Source organism: Homo sapiens, chromosome 10 (genome assembly GCF_000001405.40).
Source record: "Homo sapiens chromosome 10, GRCh38.p14 Primary Assembly".
NCBI lineage: Eukaryota > Metazoa > Chordata > Mammalia > Primates > Hominidae > Homo > Homo sapiens.
Genome location: NC_000010.11, coordinates 72,767,062 through 72,791,904, shown reverse-complemented (window position 1 = coordinate 72,791,904; position 24,843 = coordinate 72,767,062). Strand labels below are relative to the sequence as shown.

The 24,843-nt window shown below is 37.5% G+C and overlaps 1 protein-coding gene across 4 annotated transcripts in view, besides 1 other annotated feature; it reads right to left on the bottom strand.

Moving 5' to 3' along the window:
* The window catches only part of MCU (mitochondrial calcium uniporter), a 195,552-nt gene that overhangs the window by 95,790 nt on the left and 74,919 nt on the right, over positions 1-24,843 (bottom strand). The window lies entirely within an intron of this gene.
* Positions 8,240-8,534: a silencer, noted in NCBI's record as "tiled region #7737; HepG2 Repressive non-DNase unmatched - State 19:H4K20". NCBI's record gives its function as "represses a minimal TATA promoter and a strong SV40 promoter by Sharpr-MPRA in HepG2 cells {active_cell/tissue: HepG2}" and the evidence as "EXISTENCE:reporter gene assay evidence [ECO:0000049][PMID:27701403]".

The window sequence follows — 24,843 nt, the reverse complement described above, 5'->3', positions numbered from 1 at the left end:
GAACTGAGGTAGCAATCTCTTCTGGATAGAATCACTTAAAAATCTTTTTAGTTTTTTTTTTTTTGGCATTTAGAAAGAATTTCCTACATAAAAGAAAACATGTTCAGAAGGGAAAAAATTAAAAATAAGTTCATGTAATTAATATTCTTACATAAAGATGCAGAGATAATTTTACAACTAGTATACCTGTACTCAGTTACTAATTATTCAGATTAGTTGCACCGGTGATTTGTGCATTTCAATAACTATGGGAAAGCACACTGGGCTGAAAGGCTTCCTGGGGATAAAAATAAAAATAACTTATCCTATATCTACACAAGCGATATAACTCAGATAAAACCTCAAAGAAAGAGAAAGAAAAGGCATAGCCTTTTCAGCACTGTTTCTTGAAAAGAGAAACATTATCTAAAGAGAAACATTATCTAAAGAGAATTCATCCAAGGACTGACATAAAAAACACTGACATTCTTCCCCTGGACTACGGTATAGATAGGGAGGTTGTGAAGAGAGTAAAAATCAAAAAGAAGTGAAATAATGAATACTAATGGATACGGTTTACAGTCTATACACAACATTAAAATTCAGTCCATTCTGCACAACTTTTTAACTGTGGTAAGAGAGAGCCAGCCAGCAGCTGAGCTTCATACATGTGATTTTAAGACACTATAGTCATTCCTAAATTTAAAGGATCTAAAATGATATAATACTCATCATTAATTTGAAATTGTTGGGAACAAGGCAGGGCAACAAAGGTAAAATGTGCCACTACTTGTTACCTCTTAACAATGAGAAGATGATTTCACTTTAAATTTTAATATATGTTTGCCACCCCTCTCCCCAACTTCTAAGACTATCAAGAATATAGAATATGAACACTATTCCTTCTGGGGAGAATAAATCACTCTGAAGAATATACACTAATTATATACGAATAGAGCAAGGCTTTCAAGATTTTAAAATGCTTCCAAAATACCTGATCTATCTTTGTCAGACCACAATATGTTTCCTTGTTTCTTAGTTCTCTGTAATAAAAATGAAAAGCACTATTATGATTTAAAATAAATACTGGAATGAGATCCTAGGAGATTACATTTCGACTGAAGTGGTGTTATTCACAAAAGAACTTCTGCAATCAAAGCTTTCTGAGCATAGTGGCATAAAGCGTGCCTAGTAGCTTTTATTATGTAGCACCAGCCTTCCCTAGATACAGAGCTATAAATAAATAAGTACCAGGGAATCCCAGGAATATCCAGTTATTTAATCAAGCAATCAGATATTTAATTTAATAAGAGATGTATACTTCAACTCTATACCTTTTATATCATCATCTCCAATCATCCACAAGATAATAGAATTCAAAAATAAAATACATCAGAATTATGTTGCAGTCTTTTTTTAATACCATAATTTCTAAGAGGAGTGTGTATGATTCACCTAAATTTCATTCCATTCAAAATCTTTAGATGTTTGTTTAGGCTTCTGGGAGTTATAAAATACATACAACATTCATGTAGCTTCTCCCCCAGCCCCCAACTGGGTGTGGAAGAAGGAAGAGGGAAGGCACTGGAATTACCTGAGAATTATTTCTCTTCTCTTTCTATAGCAAATTCCAACATTCAGTGGGTACAGATTCAGGGAATGTGTTTTCCCCCATCTTCTTTGGTGAATTTTGCAACATGAAAAACAGATACTAGACCTAGACCAAAATGCTGCTGTTGGGACTTCAATGCTGTAGGGTTAAGAAAGATACACAGAGTTCAGAATTCTGATGTGTACATCTACAGTTTAAATGTTCTATGATGTGCATGGCATAGAACAAGTTCCATATAGAGTCTGCTGAATCAAACCACTGTCTGAATTAGAACCAAAGCCAGCAAATATATCAGAAGTGTATAACTAGAAATGGCTAGTGGACCATGTAGTGAGAAGAGGAGCTGCCATCCTTTTGAAGGTCTTTGATTATGCCAGGTAGCTTTCACATTCATTTTCCTGTGCTCCATATTGTATGGTGTGATTTAAATGGCTTGAAGTCTGAAATGCCTTTAAAAGAGGAAAACTACTTTCATGCCAGAAAGTAGATTATTAGAAATATGAATCTAATTTCAGAACCCCAGGAAGGTTACAAAGATTAAGATATTGATAGTCTTTTTCCTGGGTGAAAATTTGATGGAGAATAATGAGGGAACAGGTCTTAACAGGGATTAATGGAAACAGAAAGGGCAAGCTAGGAATCCTGGAGGTAAACTTTACCAATCTTACATTTGAGGTGAGCAGAACTAATCTTGTGTGTCAAACATGGTTTGACCTTTTTTATCTGGATGTAGTATGAAAATGGAGCAGTTTCTCATAAAAGAAAACTGAAAGTTGAAGCAAGTTGATTCAAGAGTTGAAAACAAGATGATTAGACTATAAGATGACATAAAGCTAGCATTATAAATTCTTATAAGCTCCTATACTTGACATGAAGCTAAAGCTAAGGTAGCTAAACATAACACAGAAACTATAGACATTTTGGGAATGTTATATTATAATTAATATGTAATGGCAACCACTCAAATTCAAGTCATTTGACCCTTAGATACTAACTTGTACACACACCACCAACAAGAAAACTTTAATTACATATTATTTATACCTAAAACATCTTACTACCTATTGTGCTAAGATTATATTCTTTAAGTACCTTTGATGTTTCCAAAGTCTCTAGCCATTCAATCTCATTTTCAGAACTGGTACAGTCACCCAAGGAAAAGGAATTAGAAGTTACAAGCTGGCCCTCGAATTTTCCTCATCTAATACCCCAAACCTACTCCTTAAAGGCTCAAGGAGTAGACACAATCATTCTAGAAAGCAAAAATGAACAAGTTACAGGACTCTAAGTATAGTCTTATCTTTTTCACTTAGGGAAAAAGATAAGTCTTTAAGTGGCTCCAAGACATCACACTCCATTCTAGACTGTTGTCAAAGGAAGGGATTCAGATATATCCAGCAATTCCTCAGCAAATGTGAGGTTTATTCCAACAAACCACCTGGTTCACTGCAGTACCTTTTAAAATACGGTTTGCTATGGACTAGCAAGCAAGTACTTTATCAAGAATCAACTATACATAATTGCTACTAGGTGACAATGCAAAATGTGAAATGCTTTCTAAAAAGACATTTTCCTGTAGCCATCTCTTAGAAATATGGATGTGGTGTAAAATTTCCAAATAGAAAGCACGAGATGAACTTTACTCATCACTAGTTTGTGGTTTTTGTTTTTTTAGACAGGGTCTCATGAGACAGGGTCTCAATCTGTGGCCCAGGCTGGAGTGCAGTGGTGCATCATGGCACACTCTGCAGCCTCCAACTCCTGGGCTCCAGTGATTCTCCTGACTCAGAGTTCCGTGTAGCTGGGACTACAGGCACGCACTACCATACCTGGCTATGTTTCTTAATTTTTTGTAGAGACAAGGTCTCATTATATAGCCCAGGTTGGCCTTCAACTCCTGGCCTCAAGGGATCCTCTTGCCTTGGCCTCCCAAAGTGTTGGGATTACAGGCATGAGCCACTCATCACTAGTTTGTATGTACAACCATTTATGCCAGCCTACTACCTATGTGTTTGTGTTTTCACTACAATCCCATCATTTCAGCGCTGCTGAAAAGCAGTCATTGAGTTGTTTAACCAACTGGAGTCATATACTCATAGTCAGCAGCTACTTATTTGGATAAGGACTCTATACCTATTGAATAAATAAGCCAGAACCTCCTGTACAAATTGAACACAGAAAAGAACCTGTTCTTGTTTCTTCACATTGTTAACACTTTCCTCAAGCACCAGGTATCAACTCATTGCCTATCACGTACACAGCACCACGAGATATTGTGAAGACAGTAACTAATTCTAGGCCGGGCGCAGTGGCTCATGCCTGTAATCCCAGCACTTTGGGAGGCCGAGGCGGATGGATCACCTGAGGTCAGGAGTTCGAGGCCAGCCTGACCAACATGGTGAAACCCCATCTCTACTAAAAATACAAAAATTAGCTGGGTGTGGTGGCGCACCTGTAATCCCAGCTACTTAGGATGCTGAGGCAGGAGAATCGCTTGAACCTGAGAGGCAGAGGTTGCAGCGAGCTGAGATCACACCACTGCACTCCAGCCTGGGCAACAGAGCGAGAGTCTGTCTCAAAAAAAAAACAAAAAACAAAAAAGAAAATAACCAATTCTCAGACAAGGTCTATGGCTGCTAAGAGGTTACAATCTAATTGGCAAGGCAGGACACAATAATAAAAATAGACATATATTGGTTTATAACAACGCTTAAATGCCAAATGAGAGGTAAACTCAATGAAATTGGCTGGCCACGGTGGCTCATGCCTATAATCTCAGCACTTTGGGAGGTTGAGGTGGGCAGATTACCTGAGGTCAGGAGTTCAAGACCAGCCTGGCCAACATGGTGAAACCCCATCTCTACTAAAAATACAAAAATTAGCTGGGCATGGTGGCACACACCTGTAATCCCAGCTACTCTCGAGGCTGAGGCAGGAGAACTGCTTGAAGCCGGGAGGCGGAGGTTGCAGTGAGCTGGGATTGCGCCACTCCACTCCAGCCTGGGCGACAGAGCGAGATTCTGTCTCAAAAAACAAACGAAACAAAAACTCAGTGAAACTTGTATAACCAAAAGAAACTGAATTTTCAATGAGAAAAAATTACCGTGGGCGGGAGTGGCCAGAGAAGGCTTCGTGGAGATAGGACTTCAGCTGGGTTTAGAAGGACATGTTATTTTGTAAGATGCAGCAGATTTGTCTTTCAAATCATGTTTTGTTTAGCTTAACATGAAAATAATTTTTATTACATTATTAAATGGATAGAAATTTACCCTTTAAGCGTGAGATTAAAATATGGTCCTTGAAAAACCCCTCTCTCTCCATATATAAATTTTCTTTGCTATTTTGCTATTTGACATTGGGGATGTAAGGATTCATAAGAGAGAGTGGAAAAGCACACATTTGGTGATTTGTGTAAGAACAAGTGCTATGGGAAATAACCTAAATACCTAATATTCTACCAGTGATGGCATGTTTCCAGGAGGATTAAATTTAGTGAGAAAACTGAAAAAGCAGTGCTTTTGTGCTTCAAAATACTTTATTTATTTATTTTTACTTATTTATTTATTTTGAGACATTGTCTCGCTCTGTTGCCCAGGTTGGAGTGAAGTGGCACAATCTCGGCTCATTGCAACCTCCACCTGCTGGGTTCAAGCGATTCTCCTGCCTCAATCTCCCGAGTAGCTGGGATTACAGGCGCCTGCCACCACGCCCTGCTAATTTTTGTATTTTTGGTAGAGACGGGGTTTCGCCATGTTGACCAGTCTGGTCTCGAACTCCTGACCTCCACGTGATCTGCCCGCCTCAGCCTCCCAAAGTGCTGGGGTTATAGGAAAGAGCCATGGCACCCAGCCATGCTTCAAAATAATTTAATCCCAACAAATCTGTAAATTAGTAACTTACATTCCAGTTCTTCCAATGAGAAAACTGAGGCACACAGAGCACACAGAGCTAAGAATGAGCACAGCCAGGATCTGAAATCAAATATATCTGATTCTCAACCCATCTCTTTTTACTATGTGACTCATTTTTAGGTAACAAAAACAGTAACTTCTCACTCTATGTTGATGTGTTCAAGTATAACACAAGAAACAGGATAAGGACATTAAAAAAACAAACTAGCCAGAATTCCACAAACAGCTAGCCAGAACTACATTAACTAAACTGGATGACATCTCTGGACATCAATCTCACATATAATGAAATGATCTCCACAGCAAATCGTTCCTTTATGTATTATCCTATTCTTGAAATTTTATTGCACAGCATAATACCGTTTTTTCACACAGTGCTTGTTCAGTCCCTATTCTACGGACAATCTTCATCTCCTCAAATTGGTAAGCAACACCTTGTAGGCAAGGATATGTTATTCTTTAGAATCTCTAAAGCGTGCAATACATTCCCATAGTATATATTCAGTAAACACCTATTAAGAGTTGCTGGGCAATACTCCTTTGATTTCTATAAAAATCTCCTTTCCAAAAGGATTTTCTTCATCCATTTCTACTACGACATTGACAATTGACACTAAATTAAAACAAGTAGCTATACGTACATAATAATGTTTTTCTTGCAAATTAAACCAAGATGAAAATTGCAGCCCTTGTAAGGGTCTTACTACAGATACAAGTTACAGATGAAGTGAGCCTTTATTTCCATGAAATGAGCCAGCAGGAGAATTTTACATAAACACTAAAAGTGAAAAACTTGCAATTCTGGACTATGAGCCAACACACAAAAGAAGCTCATTTCAATCTGTCAGATAAATGCCTACTCAACAAGCATGACTTCCTGGAATATATTTGGCTATTTTATATTCTGTTTCCTTAATCTGCCACTAACTGTGACAATCTCAGAATGTTTTTGAACTTTAGGATATATTTCTATTATGCACATTTTTGAAAACTCTAAAATGTGTTTTAAAGATGCATGTCTGACTAGTTTCTGCATACCACAGGGAAGTTCATTAACCTAAGTGGTAGGGGGCAGCAGGAGGGGAGACAGGGAGACAACAGAAGCAGGGAAAGAGAAAGGAGAAACAAAGTTGTAGCTTTGGTAAACACCACCACTAACCTTGTTGCAGAGACACCAAGGTTATTAGAAAAGTGACGGCAGTAGCACTGCCAGGTTTGGCTGGAGCAGCCACCACTACCACTTGCTTCGCCGACTGTGTAATATATGTGGAAATGTGGGAGATTCTCGTGCTACATCATGAAACTGCATCTGTATGCTAAATATCTAGAGACAGGAAGAGCCCTGGAAAAGGAAAAGAAGAGCAATCCCTGTACTATGTAGAAGCCTAAAATCCTTGACAACGCAAGATTCTCCTTGAACAGCTCTATCAAGCAAGTAAAAGACACACACACCAGGAATTGGTTGACTGGTGCTTTAAAATCATTATCCATGTGTGTTTTGCTCCTCACTCCAACAAGGGCATTATATAGAGCTGAGAACACATCAGCATTTAGGAATTTCCCAAAATACTCTTGGTAGGAGGGATTCCCCACACCCAAGCCCATGAAAAGGCAAAGCTGCTCTGCAACTTACTTCAGCCAGAGAGGCAGGGTGCACAGCCAGCCCTCACTCACACACCCACGCACACATACGGACAGGCTTTCCCTAGCATCCTGCACTGAAAATGAGGAGACTGTTCCCTTGACTCCCTGCACAGTGCCACATTAACATTTTCAGAAGCTACTGGATACACAGAAGGCTTTTCCTGACAAACAAGGACATCCAGAGATCTAATCCCTGCTGACAACTGCTTTGTGGAACTTTCTGTCCTTTTCAGACATGCCTACTTAAATCTATTCTTTAACCTCTCCTGCAACCAAATGTAGCCAATTAAAAATTGTACTTACCTTCAACAAAATGGGAAAATTACTCACAGCTACAAGGTGGCTTGATTTTAAGTAAATGAATCACATTTATATTAGCTTTAAAAATCACAATTACTATTTGCATAAGACACATCCTTCTAAGAGATCTATCAAAACAGAGCAACATTTTCCAAACGTGACAGTATTAATTTGATAGGATCTGAAAAAACAAAGCCTTTGTACTTCCCTTTTAGTGAAATTCAAAGTAATCTCTCTGAATTACATACTCTTTATATTGTTCTCAAGAGGGAGCAGAAGAAAATCTTCTTTTGGAAAATGTCATCCCCTGAGAGATCCAGGTAAGTGGGCATTCATCTTTGCAGTACAACATGAGGGGTTAAGCAAGGAGCTACACCATCCAACGGTGCCCGGCTTTCCCCCGGCTTCACTTGGATCAAGCAGCAGGGTTAATTACGTGGAACAGCCAAAAAGGTAAAGTAACTGGGTATTGACTTTTGGGGGCTGGTAATTTCTATAGTGCCTATGGCTCTAGACTTCCTAATAAGCTTTTCCTTAATCTGCTTTTGAAACTAAAGAGTCAAGAACAAAGTAAAACAATTTTTTAAAAAGAAATAAAGAAAGAAACAAGCAACATCCTCCCCACTCCCCAACATTTGGAGCTAATCATGGGGAAAATCCTTCCTATAGGCATTTGATTTTAGGTACTTGTCACATTTTCTTTCCCAACTCCACTCCACCCCACTCTATGCGTTTTTCTTGGCATGATCTCTCTCCCTTCCTTTGAGAAAATAAACTGCATTTGCTCTATATTAACACTTCAGATACAACAGCTCCCCCCAACAAAATCCTCTCTTTATCCTGGAAGGTTTAACTTGACATGTTTTTTTCCTCAGAAGAAACCAGGCTAGAAATCCCAACACTGCTCCACTAAGTAAACTCTCCTAGGAAGAGAGGATTCACATGGCATATGCAAAGCCTCCTAGATGCCAAAGAGTTGAATAAGTGGCACATGGCATATGCAAAGCCTCCTAGATGCCAAAGAGTTGAATAAGTGGCATGTGGCAGTTCCACACCTGAGTCCAAAACACATCCCTTCAAAGAGCCACCAGTGTGATGTCCTCAATAATATTCTAAAATGAATAGCATCACACTGTTTTGGACATGAAGGTGATGGTTCTGAAAGGATAGGAAGGAATGTAAAACATAATCTATTTTAAAGTATCTGGAGGCTCTACATATAATGTAACTAGGTGGTATGCCTATGCCAGATGATAAAATCTAATTTGAAAAGTCTACACATTGACATTCTCTACCAAGGTGGAGCACACACAATGCGGTGGTTTCATTCAAACTATTCAATGAAGTACTTAGGGTGAATATTGATTATGCTTAAAGTGCATTCCACAAATACTTCAAACAAACTGAGTTATTTCCTTTTTCCATGGCCAGAAACTCCCTTCGCATTTTCCTATAGGAAGCTTAAATATAAGCTCTCATATTTAAGCCTCAACTGATTCTGCAAATTGCTCAGGTTTGCCTTAGGTTCAGTGAAAGACATAACCAGTCACAAATATTTCTAAACTCCTTCTGCAGGATGTTGGCTCACAGTAACACAGCTGCACTAGAATCAAAATAACTTCTGAAGCTACTGGCTTTGCTGGACAAGATACGAATAATACATAAGCCCTATATGCAAGAAACTAGTGAGAGGAACTAGACACACATCCCTGTAAAGTTAAATAAGCAAACAAAAGTTAAAATGAGTTCCACAGAAGAGGCAGAAATTCAGTTTGATTTTTAAGGATTATGGGCCGGGCGTGGTAGCTCATGCCTGTAATCCCAACACTTTGGGAGGCCAAGGCGGGTAGCCTGAGGTCAGGAGTTTGAGACTAGATTGGCCAACATGGCGAAACCCCGCCTCTACTGAAAATACAAAAATTAGCTGGGTATGGTGGCAGGTGCCTGTAATCCCAGCTACTCAGGAGGCTGGAGGCATGAGAATCGCTTGAACCCAGGAGGCAGAGGTTGCAGTGAGCCGAGACTGCGCCACTGCACCCCAGCCCAGGTGACAAGAGCAAAACTCCATCTCCAAAAACAACAACAAAACAGATACACGATTTTAAGGATTATGTACGAGTTAGAAAAACGGAAAAGAATAAAAGAGTATTTGAAAAAGCACAGGGTGAAGAAGTACACATAGCATGAGGGTATGAAGGTACCGGGCACTCTACAAGTAGAAATGGACAAGCTTAAGTATCGCTCTAACTCTATAAGCACTCCACAAAGGAGTATTGGGGCAGGCTAAGGAGGAATATGGCACAATCTTTTGTACTGCCAATTGCTGTGTTCCTCTCATCTGAATGTGTGTCATGGTATTTTTTGTGGAATCAGCAATGGTGAAGGAGAGCTCTGGGGCAGAGTATAGAGACTCATGATCTGGGGACTGTGGGGAGGAGTCTGCAGTGTCCTGGTAGCATTCATTGGTTTCTTTCATGAAAGTGACCCCAAACATCTGATGAAGATGAAAAGGAGTTTCCCCTTTTTGCAGCCTATTCATGGCCACAAAGCACAGTGTCCTTGTTTTGTCAGAATTGACTATTTGGATCTTCCAGAGAGATCCTGTCACTAAAATGGATTCCAAGATCATTATTCCTTTGGCCAAGTCGCAAAGACCTTAAACATACTGCAGCAACCAAAGGAAGAAGAAAAAAAAAGAAATAACATAAAAGTAGGTTCCTATTTTTCTGAAGTATTATTTGGGAACTAAGTAACCTGTCACTCTCATTCTTCACCTAGGAATTAGCTCAGGCTAAGCTCTCATATTTAAGCCTCAACTGATTCTCAGGAAAACAAAACATCTGCTTAAGTTTTGCAGATGCACATGACCATCTATTTCTGAAAACAACCATAAATACTCAAACTCCGAAAGGCTTGTTTTAACCAAACATGGAATAAATGAATGATACTTCAAATACTGTATGCTCTGTGTATTTCTGGTTTTGTGGAATCTTTACCACCTATAACCTGACTAGGACTTAAGAGATGACTTTAACTCTACAATGATTCATTTAAAAATAATAAATCTAAGATACTGAGTAGGCTGTAGCAGAAAGCAAAGTGTCAGAGGCAAAGTTAAGCCATGGGGAAAAATTCTGAAAGCATGCAGCCCAGGCTAAGAGTATGATGATTAGCTTATACATCTAAACAAAGATGTCCTATTGGCTCCAAGTAGCCTCAGCCTCAATAATTTCTTATCTCCAAACTCTGCCCGACAAATTCAATTCACCAGAATTATCCTGATTACCAGTAACAACACACCAGATTCTATATCAAATATTTTCCTACCTAAATTTCCTCCATAGTTCCATCCTCTTTCTGCCCACTACAGTGTTCCAATTCTTTAAAAAAAATTTTTTTTATTTTTTGAGTGTTCCAATTCTTAAAATTCCATTAAGAAGGCAAATACCCCCAAATAAATGAATAAAATATTAATCAAATTCTCTATATGTCAGTCAGACCAACTAAACGGGTATCACAATGTCACCAAATTAAAACACCATTCAGTGTTTCATTATATTTGTGTTACGTTTGCAGAATGATTTTAATTCTTTAAGAGTCCTTTCCCATCTAAAACTTCATTTAACTATCACAAATAAGCCTGTGAGTGTAAGGAAGATATTAACATTGGAGAAAACCAGAGATGCAATGACATGGTAAGATCCAGACATCACTCTTCCAAGTCTTTCCTTGCTAGATCTTTCCAGATGATGGGAAGGTTAGGAGAGGGCAGCAGGAGAGAAGCTCTGAGTGACTTCATCTAAATCAAGTAGCCCTGGTGTTCCTGCTATGGTAAGAGATTATGGCAAATTTGTTTTAACAAATGATGACAACAGTTATCTCTCTTCCTCTCTTCCAAATTCACCCAACACACACACACACACACACACACACACACACACACACACTTAGCCAAAGAATACTTCAGAACATTAAAATAACTGGCAGACTTAATTTTCCATTTTGTCCTTCCACAGCTATTTTTTAAAAAATCCTTTTGAGATATAATTTATATACCATAAAATTCACCCTTTTAAAATGTACAATTAAGTGGTTTTTGGTATACAGTTATGTAACCATCACCACTATCTAATTCCAGTATATCACCACCCTAAAAAGAAACCTCATACCCACTAGTAGTCACTCCCCATTATCCTCTACCCAGGCCCTGGCAACCACTAATCTACTTTTTCTCTATGGATTTGCCTATTCTGGACATTTCAAACAAATTATGTGGTCTTTTGTGACTGGCTTCTTATCATTTACCATATTTTCAAGGTTCATCTGGGTTATAGTATGTGTCGGTATTTCATTCCTTTCTAGGCTGAATAATATTCCATCGTATGGATATACCACCTTCTGTTTATCCATTCATCAGATGACAGATATTAGGGTTATTTCACTTTTTGGCTATTGTGACTAATGCTGCTATGAACATATGTACATGTTTTTGTGTAGATATGTGCTTTTATTTCTATTGGGTATATACATATTTACAAGTAGAATTGCTAGGTTCTATGGGAAATACATGTTCAACATTTTGAGAGGCAGACAAACTATTTTCCTAAGTAGCTGTACCATTTTACAATCCCAACAGCAATGAATGAGGGTTCCAATTTCCCCATACCCTCACTAACACTTGTTATTTTCTGTCGCATTATTATAGCCATGCAGTGTGTATAAAGTGGTATTTCATTGTGGTTTTCATTTGCATTTCTATAATGACTAATGATGTTGAGCATCTTCATGTGCTAACTGGCCATTTATACATCTCCTTATAGAAATGTCATTTCAAATCATCCCGTTTTTATTGGGATTTTTGTTCCTTGTATTATTGGGTTGTGAGAGGTTTTTTAAAAAAAATTCTGGATGCAAGTCCTCTAACAAATAAATGATCTGCAAATATCTTCTCCCATTTAGTGGGTTGTTTTTTTACTTCCTTAATGGTATCATTTTGCACCACAGAAGTTTTCAATTTTGATGAAGTCTATTTTCTCTTTTGTCACTTGTGCCTCTAGTGTTATACCTAAAAGATCATTTGACTAGTCCAAGACCAAGACCATGAAGGTTTACACCTGTTGTCTTCAGAGTTTTATTGTCGTAACTCCTACATTTAGGCCCTTCCCAAAGTGCTGTGAAAATATACTTCTGAGGCCAGGCGCAGTGGCTCACGCCTGTAATCCCAGCACTTTGGGAAGCCGAGGTGGGGGGATCACGAAGTCAAGAGATTGAGACCATCCTGGCCAATATGGTGAAACCCTGTCTCTACTATAAATACAAAAATTAGCTGGGCATGGTGGCACGTGCCTGTAGTCCCAGCTACTCGGGAGGCTGAGGCAGAGGAATCACTTGAACCCAGGAGGCGGAGGTTGCAGGGAGCCAAGATCGTGCCACAGCACTCCAACCCAGCAACAGAGTGAGACTCCATCTCCAAAAAAAAAGAAAAAGAAAATATACTTCTGAATTCTCGATTCTATTCCATAGTCCATCCTTATGCAGGCTCCACACTGTTTTCATTACTGTTGCTTTGCAGTAAGTTTTTTTTCCCCACTGAAATTTTTTTTTTCGGTTTTCCAGTATTTATCATATACTGAAAAATCCTTTGTTGCTTAGTACATTATTTCAATGTGCACTTGGTAAGGATAGTGATTTTTTATATTAACAGTCAAAATCTAGTTTGACCAGTTAGTCAAATATTCAATCGTTTTCATTATTTCCATGCATGATATTTTTTAATGCCTGTGGGACATTTTAATTATGAATATTGGTTTATTACAAAACAAGGACAGTGTTCTTGCTAGCATGAATCAATTAAGTTATCAACATGATTGTGCTACCACTTTATATTCTTTTGTCCTCTACCCATGCCTCCCAAACCCCACCCCCCGGCTCCAACCATTCCCAGCCTCTGTAACTACCATTCTACACTCTATCTTCATGAGATCCACTTTTTAAGCTCCCACATATGAATGAGAAGATGTGATATTTCTATCCGGGCTTGGTTTATTTCACTTAACATTATGGGCTCCAGTTCCATCCATGTTGCTGCAAATGACAGGATTTCATTCCTTTTTAAGGCTGAGTAATATCCCATTGTGTATATATACCACATTTTCTTTATCCTTTCATCCATTGATGGGCACTTAGGTTGATTCCATATCTTGGTTATTATGAATATTGCTGCATTAAACATAGGAGTGCAGATAACCCTTAAAAATATTGATTATCTTTCTTTTGGCTATATACCCAGTAGTGAAATTGCTGGATCATATGGCAGCTCTATTTTTAGTTTTTTGAGGAAACTCCATATTGTTCTCCATAGTGGCTGTAGTAATTTACATTCCCAAGAACAGTTTACGAGGGTTCCCTTTTCTAGACATACTCATCAATATTTGTTACTGTCATTTTTAATACAAAACATTTTAACTGGGATGAAATGATATCTCATTGTGGTTTTGATTTGCATTTCTCTATTAGTGATGCTGAGCATTTTTCACACACCTATTTGGCCATTTGTATGTCTTCTTTCAAGAAATGTGTTTGAATCTTTTGCCCACTGTATAGATTATTTGTTATTCTGCTATTGGGTTGTTTGAGCTCTTATATATTCTGGTTACTAATCCCTTGTCAGATGCACGTATTTTCTCCCATTCTCTATGTTGTCTCCTTACTAGGTTGACTGTTTCCTTTGCTGTGCAGAAGCTTTTTAACTTGATGTAATTCCATACCTATTTTTGCTTTTGGTTGCCTGTGCTTTTGAGGTCTAACCCAAAAAATCTTTGCCTAGACCAGTGCCCTGGAGGGTTTCCCCAAGATTTTATTCTGGTAGTTTCACAGTTCCAGGTCTTAGATTTAAAGCTTTAATACATTTTGATGTGAATTTTGTGAATGGAGAGAGTTAGGGGTCTAGTTTCGTTCTTCTGCATATGGTTATCTAGTTTTCACAGTACCATTTATTGGAAAGACTGTCCTTTCCCCATTGTATGTTCTGGTTCCTTTGTCAAAGATCAGCTGGCTGTAAATGCATGGACTGATATCTGGATTCTCAACTCTGTTCCATTGGTCTATGTGTCTGCTTTTAAGCCAGTATCACGCTATTTCGCTTACTGTAGCTTTAGAGTAAATTTTGATGTCAGGTAGTGTCTCCAGCTTTGCTCTTTTTGCTCAGGATTGCTTTGACCATCCAAGGTCTTTTGTAATTCCATATGAATTTTAGAATTTTTTTCCCTATTTCTGTGAAGGATATCATTGGTATTTTGATAGGGATTGCACTGAATCTGTAAATTACATCAAGTAGTACTGTCATTTGAAAAATATTAATTCTTCCAATTCATTAGCATGGAATATCTTTCTGCTTTTTTGCATCTTCTTCAGTTTCTTTCATCAGAGTTTTATAGTTTTCCTTGATCTTTTACTTATTCAGTTAGATTAACTCCTAGGTATTTCATAGCTATTATAAGTGGGATTGCTTTCTTGATTTCTTTTTCAGATTGTTTGCTGTTAACATATATAAATGCTACTGATTTTGTATGTTGATTTTGTATCCTGCAATTGTACTAAACTCATTTATCAGTGTTAACAATTTTTTGTGGAGTCTTTAGGTTTCTCTAGGTATGAGATCATGTCATCTGTGAACAAGGCTAATTTGACTTCTTTCTTTCCAATTTGGATGCCCTTTATTTCTTTATCTTGCTTAATTGCTCTGGCCAGGACTTCTAGTATTATGCTGAATAACAGTGGTAAAAGTAGCCATTCTTATCTTCTTCCACTCCTAAGAGAAAAGGCTGTCAATTTCTCCCCATACAATATGATGTTAGCTATGAGTTTGTCATTTATGGCCTTTATTATTTTGAGGTATGCTCCTTCTATACCCATTTTGATGAGGGCTTTTATCATAAAGGGGTGCTGAATTTTATCAAATGATTTTTCAGCATCTGTTGAAACAATGATGTGGTTTTTGTTAACTCTGTTAATGTGATATATCATGTTTATTGATTTGCATGTGTTGAATCATTCTCTTATATCACTGGAATGAATTTCACTTGATCATGGTGAATGATCTTTTTAATGTGTTGTTGAATTTGGTTTCCTGGTATTTTGTTGAGGATTTCTGCATCTATGTTCGCCAATAATACTGGCCTGTACTTTTCTTCTTTTCTTGGGTCCTTATCTGTTTTGGTATCAGGGTAATCCTGGCCTCATAGAATAAGGTTGAAAGTATTATCTCCTCTTCAATTTTTTTTTTTTTTAAGAGATAGGGTCTCACTCATGTTGCCCAGGTTGTAGTGCAGTAGTGCAATGATAGCTCACTGCAGCTTCAAACTCCTGGGCTCAAGCAATCCTCCCACCTTAGCCTCCCACATAACTGGGGCTACAGGCACATGCCACCAAATCCAACTATTTTTTAAAACTGTTTTTGTAGAGACAGGGTCTCACTATGTTGCCCAGGCTGGTCTCAAATTCCGAGTCTCAGGGGATCCTCCCACCTCAGCCTCCCAAAGTGCTAGGATTACAGGTATGAGTCACTGCACCTGGCCCAATTTTATTACAGCTTCTATTTCATTACTCATGATCGGTTTGCTGAGGTTTTACATTTCTTCGTGGTTCAATCTTGGTAGGTTGTACGGTATCCAGGAATTTATCCTTTTCTTCTAGATTTCCCATTTTGGTGGTGTATAGTTCTTCAAAATAGTCTCTAACCATTCTTTGTATGTCTGAGGTTTCAGTTATTCCTCCTTTTTCATTTTTTATTTTATTTGGGTCTTCTCTCCTTTGTAGACTAGCTAAAGATTTGTTGATATTGGTTATCTTTTTAAAAGAACAACTTCTTGTTTCATTGTTCTTCTGTGGAGTTTTTTTGGTTTCGATTTCATTTATTTCTACTTTGATCTTTATTTCTTTCCTACTACTAATTTTGGGTTTGGTTTGGTCTTCCATTTCTAGTTCTTTGAGGTGCGTTGTTTACTTAAATTCTAATTTTCTTTTTTGATAGAAGTGTTTATCATCATAAACTTCCCTCTTAGTAAGGCTTTTACAGTATCCCATAGATTTTGGTATGTTATATTTTCCATTTTCATTTGTTTCAGGAAACTTTTTAATTTTCCTAATTTTTTCATTGGCCCATTGGTCATTCAGGAGCATGTTGTTTAATTTCCATGTGTTTGTGTATTTTCCAGGGTCCTTCTGTTATTGATTTCTAGTTTTATTCCGTGTGGTCAGAAAAGATACTTGATATTATTTCTGTTTTTTAAAAATTTCTTCAGACTTGTTTTGTGGCCTAAGGGAGACTCTATTCTAGAAAACGTTTGATGTGCTAATGAAAAGAATGTGTATTCTGCAGCATTTGGGTGAAATGTTCTGTAAATATCAAGTCTATTAGATCTAGTGTGTAGTTTAACTCAGATGTTTCTTGATTTTTCTGTCTGGATGATCTGCCCATTACTGAGACTGTGGTGTTAAAGTGCCCTACTATAGTTGTATTGTAGTCTGTATTTCCCTTTAGATCTACTAACATTGGCTTTACACACTTAAGTGCTCCAGTATTGGGTACATAGACATTTATAATATAATTGGTATATCTTCTTGCTGAATTGATCTATTTATCTTATATGGTGCCCTTCTTTGTTTCTTTTTACAGTCTTAGATTGGTAGTCTATATTATTCAATATAAGTATAGCTACTCCTACTCTTTTTTGGTTTCCAGTTGCATGGAATGTCTTATTCCACCCTTCACTTTCAGCTTATGTGTGACTTTATTAGTGAGGTGGGTTTCTTGAAGGCAGCATATAGTTGGGTTTTGTTTCTTTATCCATGGAGCCACTCTATGCCTTTTAATTGGAGAACTGACAATACTACCTTCAGTGTTATTATTAATAAGTAAGGACTCACGACTGCCATTTTGTGGCTTATTTTCTGATTGTTTTGAACCACTTTTCTTCCTGTCTTCCTTTGTGGTTAAGTGACTTTCCCTAGTAATCTGTTTTTAATTTGTTGTGTTTTTAGTAAGTCTATTATAGGTTTTTGTACTCTGGTTACCATGAGGCTTACAAAAAACATCTTACAGACATAAGAAGCTATTTTAAAGAGATGAGAACTTAGATCAAAAATACACAAACAAAGGTAAAACAAAAAAAGAATTCTATGCTTTAACTCCATCTCCTCCACATTTTGACTCAATTTACATTTTTAATATTACCTACATTACCTATCTCTTAACAGGTTGCTGTAGCTATTATTGTTTTTGATAGATGTGATTTTGGGCTTCATATTAGAGTTATAAGTGTACTGCACACCACAATTGCAGTAAGAGTATTCTGTATTTGCCTGTGTACTTAATTTTACCAGTGGATTTTATATGTTGAAAAGTTTATGTTATATGTTGAAAAGTTTTCCTTTAGCACGTTAGTGGTTTGTTGGTTTATGTTTTCTTTCAGATTGAAGAATTCCCTTTAGCATTTCTTGTAAGATGGGTCTGGTGGTGGTGAATTCTCTCAGCTTTTGTTTGTCTGGGAAACGCTTTGTTGCACCTTAATTTCTGAAAGACAATTTTGCAAAATATTCTTGGGTGGCAGTTTTTTCCTTGAGAATTCTGAAAATGTCATTATACTCCCTCTTGGCCTATATGGTTTCCACTGAGAAGTCTGTTGCCAGACCAATTGGAGTTCCTTTATATGTTATCTGCTTCTTTTCTTTGCTGCTTTTAGGATCCTCTTTCTGTTCTTAACTTTTGAGAGTTTATTATATGCCTTGAGGTAGTTTCATCTGGGTTTAATCTGTTTGGCACAGACTTTCCTGTGCCTGGATATTTCTATCTTTTTCAAGTTTTAAAAAATTACCTGTTATTATTTCTATGAATAAGCTTTCTATCTTTCCTCTTGCTCAGCTCCCTCTTGAACACCAGTAAGTCTTAAATTTTGCCTTTTGAGGTAATTTTCTATATCTTATATACAGTCTTTGTTCCTTTTCATTCTTTGTTCTGCACTGACTGTATATTTTCAAATAGCCCATCTTCAAGTTCACTATTTTCTCTGCTTGATCCATTCTGCCATTGAGAGCCTCCACAGAGTTTTTTCAGTTAAGCAAATGTGTTTTTCATTTCCAAGATTTCTGTGGGTTTTTTCTTTAATTATTTCAATCTCTTTGTTAAATTTCTCTGATAAATTTCTGAACTGCTTTTCTTTGTTATTTTGGAGATCACTCAGTTTCCTTAAAATTGCTATTTTGTGCCAGGTATGGTGGCTCATGCCTATAATCCCAGCACTTTGAAAGGCTAAGGTAGGAGGAACACTTGAGCCCAGGAATTCAAGACCAGCCTGGCCAACATGGTGGGACCATCTCTACAAAATATTCAAAAATTAGCCAGGTGTTGTGGCATGTTCCTGTAGTCCCGCCTACTAAGGAAGCTGAGGTGAGAGGATTGCCTGAGCCTGGGAGGTTGAGGCTACAGTGAGCCACGGTCGTGCCACTGCACTCCAGCCTAGTGACAAGGAAAGACCGTGTCTCAAAACAAACAAACAAACAAACAAAACCTGCTATTTTGAATTCTTAATCAGAAAGCTCACAAACTGCCATCTTGTTAGGGTCAGTCACTGGATTTTTGCTTTGTCCTTTTGGGAAGGTCATGATTTCCTGTTGTTTCTTATGGGTATACCTTCTATGTCTTTGAAGGATTTGTTATTTTGGTTTTTTCTATCTGGCTTGTTTTGATTTTGTTTTGTTTTGAGACAGAGTCTCACTCTGTCACCCACCAGGCTGGAGTGCAGTGGCACGATCTCAGCTCATTGCAACCTCTGCCTCCCAGGTTCAAGCAATTCTCGTGCCTCAGGCTCCTGAGTAGCTGGGATTACAGGTGTGCAGAACCACGCCCAGCTAATTTCTGTGTTTTTAGTAAAGACAGGGTTTTGCCATGCTGGCCAGGCTGGTCTTGAACTGCTGGCCTCAAGCAATCTGCCCACCTTGACCTCCCAAAGTGCTGGGATTGCAGGCGTGAGCCACTGCACCCAGCCTTGTTTTGATTTTTATTAGATGTATCTGCTTAGTGAATCAATATTGCTAAGTCACTGCCTCCTTTTCAGCTCTAGGAAATGATCAAACCACTGCCTAATCTGAATAGGGGAGGTCCCAAAGGGATTATCCCAGCAGTGTGTCAAGGCTGGCTAGGAGTTTGTGCCCATGGGACTTATGGAACATACCTCCTACAGCATGGTGCTGCTGAACAGCCACTATGATTTGGCATTTCCTTTGACTGAGTAACAGAGCAGTTTTCAGGGCTGAGGATGGTAGTCCCACCTCCCCACTTTGTCTCTGCCTGTCCTCAGGCATTTTCTCCCTTCAGGCAGTCACTGTGCTTCCCACAGGTTAAGGCAAGGACAAGTCTCCCGACAGGGAACCCAAGATGGTGGGGAAGTTCGCTGACTACCTCAGCCTCACTGTTTCCAGTGTAGAAGCCATGAGTTGGAAGGAGATTTTACAAACTATTTGTCCTGGGTAGAATGGGGTGGTGGGGCAATGAAGATGTGGAAGTCTGATTCTCCTACTGTCTGCTTAAAATTTTTCACTTCTCTGTGGCCCTACTGGGGCCAGTAGTGGGGAGGAGGGCAAGGGGAGGGAGAGCATTAGGACAAATAGCTAATGAATGCAAGGCTTAAAACCTAGACGATAGGTAGATAGGTGCAGCAAACCACCATGGCACACGTATGCTTATGTAACAAACCTGCACATTCTGCACTCATATCCCAGAACTTAAAGTGAAATTTTAAAACATAAAAATAAAAAATGAAGCTTCCAAGGCACTGGGATGACATTCTAAGTGTTGAAACAACAAAAAAGGTGTCCACCAAAAATCTTATATTCAGCAAAGTGGACTTTAAAAATGAAGGCAGATTATAAATCAGTCTACTATAAAGACACATGTACATCTATGTTTATTTCAGCACTATTCACAATAACACAGACTTGGAGTGAACCCAAATGCCCATCAATGATGGACTGGTTGAAGAAAATGTGCACATATACACCATGGAATACTATGCAGCCATAAAAAAGGATGAGTTTGTGTCCTTTACAGGGACATGGATAGAGCTGGAAACCATCATTCTTAGCAAACTAACACAGGAATAGAAAACCAAACACCACATGTTCTCACTCATAAGTGGGAGTTGAACAATATGGACACAGGGAGGGGAACATCACACATTGGGGCCTGTCAGGGATTAGGGGGCTAGGGGAGGGATAGCATTAGGAGAAATACTTAATGTAAAATGACGGGTTGATGGGTGCAGCAAACCATCATGGCACATGTATACCTATGTAACAAACCTGCATGTTCTGCACATGTATCCCAGAACTTAAAGTATAATAATAATTTTTTAAAAACCATGAAGGCAGATAAGACATCCCAAGATAAAAACTGAAAGAATTTCTTGCTAGCAGATCTGCATTACAAGAAATAGTAAAGAAAGCTATTCAGGCTGAAAACACATGACCCCGAAAAGTAATTCAAATACAAAGGAAAAAAAACGAAGAGTTCCAGTAAAGGCAATTATAGTTATAAAAGACAGTACAAATGCATATTTCTATATTAACTATTTAAAAAGCAATTATATAGGATAATATATATATAATTGTACTACTGGGTCTATAACATTTAGGAATGTAATATATTTGACGCTATCAGAACAAAGAAAGTAAGTAGAGGCAAACATGAATTGAAGTAAGGAAACAATACCAAAAGGTAACTTGAAAGCACAGAAACAAATGAAGACAACCAGAAATGGTAAATAAGAAGGTGAATATTAAACTCTATAAAAAATCCTTGCTCTCCATATTTCTCTTGGTGTCTTTAAAAGGTGTAAAATTATGCAAAGTACCATTTATAACATTGTTAGGTTTGTAACATATATACCTATAATATTTAATAATAATAGCACTGAGAAAATGTAATAGCACAAAAAAGAAAGAGGAAATAGAGATAAATTGGAGCAACTTTTTGATATTTCACATGAATTGAGTTAGTACAAATCTGAAGTGGATTTTGGTAAATTAAGATGTATATGATAAACCCTAGAGCCCAGTAAGAAAACAATCTTTAAAAATAGTGGAAAAAAATCATTAGAGGAATTTAAATGTTACATTAGAAAATATTCACATAATGCAAAAGAAAGCAGTGAGGGAAAAGAGAGGTATAAAAATATAAGACATCACATGCTAGGCCATAAAGCAAGCCTCAATAAATTTAAAAGGATTGAAATAATAAAGTATGCTCTCTGATCACAATGAAATAAAATTAGAAATCAGTGACAGAAGTAAATTTGGTAAATTCATAAATATGTGGAAATTAAACAACACACTACCAATAACCAATGTAAGAAAGAAAAAAAACCACAAAGGAAAAATAGAAAACGATTTTGAGATGAATGAAAATGAAGACACAATATAACAAAACTTACGGGATGCAGCTAAAGTGGTGCTCAGATGGAAATTTATAGTTGTAAATACCTATATTTTAAAAGATCTCACATCAATAACCAAAACACCGACCTAACACCACACAATGTATGATTCCATTACAGAAATGTCCACAGTAGGTAAATCCACAGAAACGAAAAGTAGCTTACTGGTTGCCTAGGGCTGGAAGGATTGTGGGGAAATGAGAAATGACTGCTAATGGGTATGGGGTTTCCTTCTGGGGTGATGAAAATGTTCTAAACTTGATTGTGGTAAAGGCTGTACAACTGTGATTATACTAAAAACCATTGAAATGGGTTACATTTTAAATGGGTGAATTGTATGGTTTGTAACTGCATTTTATAAGGCTGTTAAAATCAACACACTTCTACAGCCAGGCACAGTGGTACATGTCTGCAATCCCAGCTACTCAGGAGACTGAGGCAAGAGTATCACCGGAGCCCAGGAGTTCAAGACTGGCCTCAGCAACATAGAGATCTTGTCTCAAAAAACAAACAAAAATGAAAAATAAATAAAATAGTATGTTTCATCAATATTAAAACCTTTCCTCCCCATATTTAACATGGATGAAACCAAGATGCATCTACCTGCAGTGGAATCTCTGACAGCAAAGCAGCAGTTGTAACACAGTTGTCATTGTTTGTGTGAGCAAGAACTCGGTTTTATTCTTCATGGCATAACTGGTTACCTAAAACCCTTTGACAACAAACCACTTAAGGTTCATTTTAGGAAGAAATAAAAGTCATGTTGCTCAGACATTCCACTGACACTAAGATCAAGAAAGTTCCAGGACCAAAAACTACAAAATGGCTGGGCATGATGGCTCACACCTGTAATGCCAGTGCTTTGAGGAGGGAGGATCACTTGAGCCCAGAAGGTAGATACCAGCCTGGGCAACATACCAAGACTATATCTCTTAAAAGAAAAAAAAAAAATTAGCTGTGCATGGTGGTGCATGCCTGTAGTCCTAGTTACTCAGGAGGCTGAGGCAGGAGGATCACCTGAACCCAGGAATTCAAAGTTACAGTGAGCTATGATTGCACCACTGCACTCCAGCCTGGGCAACAGAGCAAGAAGACCCTGTTTCAAAAACAAAAACCATGCATAACATGTGTCAGCGGCTTGGAATAGAACTCCTGAGACAATTTAAATGTCTAAAAGTTGTATCTAATTTTTTTTAAAAAACTAAGTTTTTCAATAAGCATAAAATAAGAAATTGCATGACAAAGCATTGTCATCTTAACTGTAATTTTTCTTACTGCTAATAAATAACAGTGTCTTACAACTGATGGCATCTTAGAGGCAATGAAATATGGTACAATATATTAGTAATGACAATCAAAGTGAATGGACTAACCTCACCATTTAAGAGGTTGAAACTATCATCATGCTAACTTAGTTCTATGCAACCTTCTGAGCCTATTTTGCAACCACTGTATAGATACACAATATTACAAAAGAGGTTTGATAACTTCACTACTTAGCATAGTGTTCAAGACTGATTTGCCTAATTCTAATTTACTGGAATTCTAACATGAATATTAAATCCTAAATTGACTGAGATTATATAAATGTTTTTAAAAACAAGAAATAAATTTCCAGAAGCCTTTGTGTAGTTCTTCAGAATCTTATTGACTACAAACCATATGTCTATCTCAAAACCTAGGCAAAATGGATTAATAAAATACCAAAATGACTTCATAGTCAGTAGTTCCACCTAAAATTCCAAGGATTGCAGAAACAGAATTTAAGAAAGATTCTATGACAATTTTATTTTATGCAAAAATTAATGCAACTTCTTTTTTTAAAAAAGTCTTTTGTTTGTTTTTTTGTTTTTTTTGTTTTCCTCTCTGGTTCAAAGATAACTGCTCGTTGTTTCATGAGCCTTTTTTATTCGCCTTGGAAACTCTTCATCTTAATAGATAGTACAAGTCATTTTAAGAATCTTGACATTTTCTATGTTCCCTCAAATATTGTTTTTCCAAGTTGATCTGATCATCTAACATCTGCCTAAATTAAAAGAGCCTAACAAGATGAAGATGAAACAACCAGTAAAATTTATCCCAAAATTAAACTCCTGTCTATTCATACATTCCCTTTTCATTCCTATAAGACTGTGAATTATTATTTCATTTTACAGATCAGAAAACTAAACTTCAGAAATCTTAAGTGACCAAACCTTTTGACCAAAGTCATCCCCCCAAAAAGGGAAAGACTCAGCACTCAAACACAAATCTTAAATCCTTAATTTCTGTCCCTTATAAATTCATCAGAACCTAACACGCAGAGACAAGAGAGCTGAAATGGGTCAGGCGCAAAGAATTGTGCCTGTAATCCCAGCACTTTGGGAGGCTGAGGCTGAAGGATCACTTGAGCCCAGGGGTTCAAGACCAACCCAAGCAACATAGTGAGACCTCATCTCTACAAAAAAAATTAAAACACAGTTAAATTAAATTAAATTAAATTAAATACAAAAGAGCTGAAATGAACCTATTTGATATTACAAACCATAAATATAGTCAAATCAAAATATTTTCATTCTCCTCACAAGACTTCCGAGTCCTTTTTCAACAAGCAAGAACTCACATAGTCCTATGTAATCTCTGAGCCTCTATAATACCTGTGTCTCAGTTTTCTTAACTATGAATTGCAGCTAAGACCTTTCCTAGGCAACTTCAGAAACGAGAAGATCATGACAGACAGCAGAAAGGAAATTATTTTAATTTGGAAACTCCTGAAGTCTTAAACCAAAGTAATCCATTAAAATAAAAAAAAAGACATGAAATCATCCTTTTCACAAAATAACGAAAAGACAAATAAATCATAATTCTTATATACAGACTCTAAAACTAATTTTTAATGACAGAAGACAGGTAACTTTGCAAAGCAGCA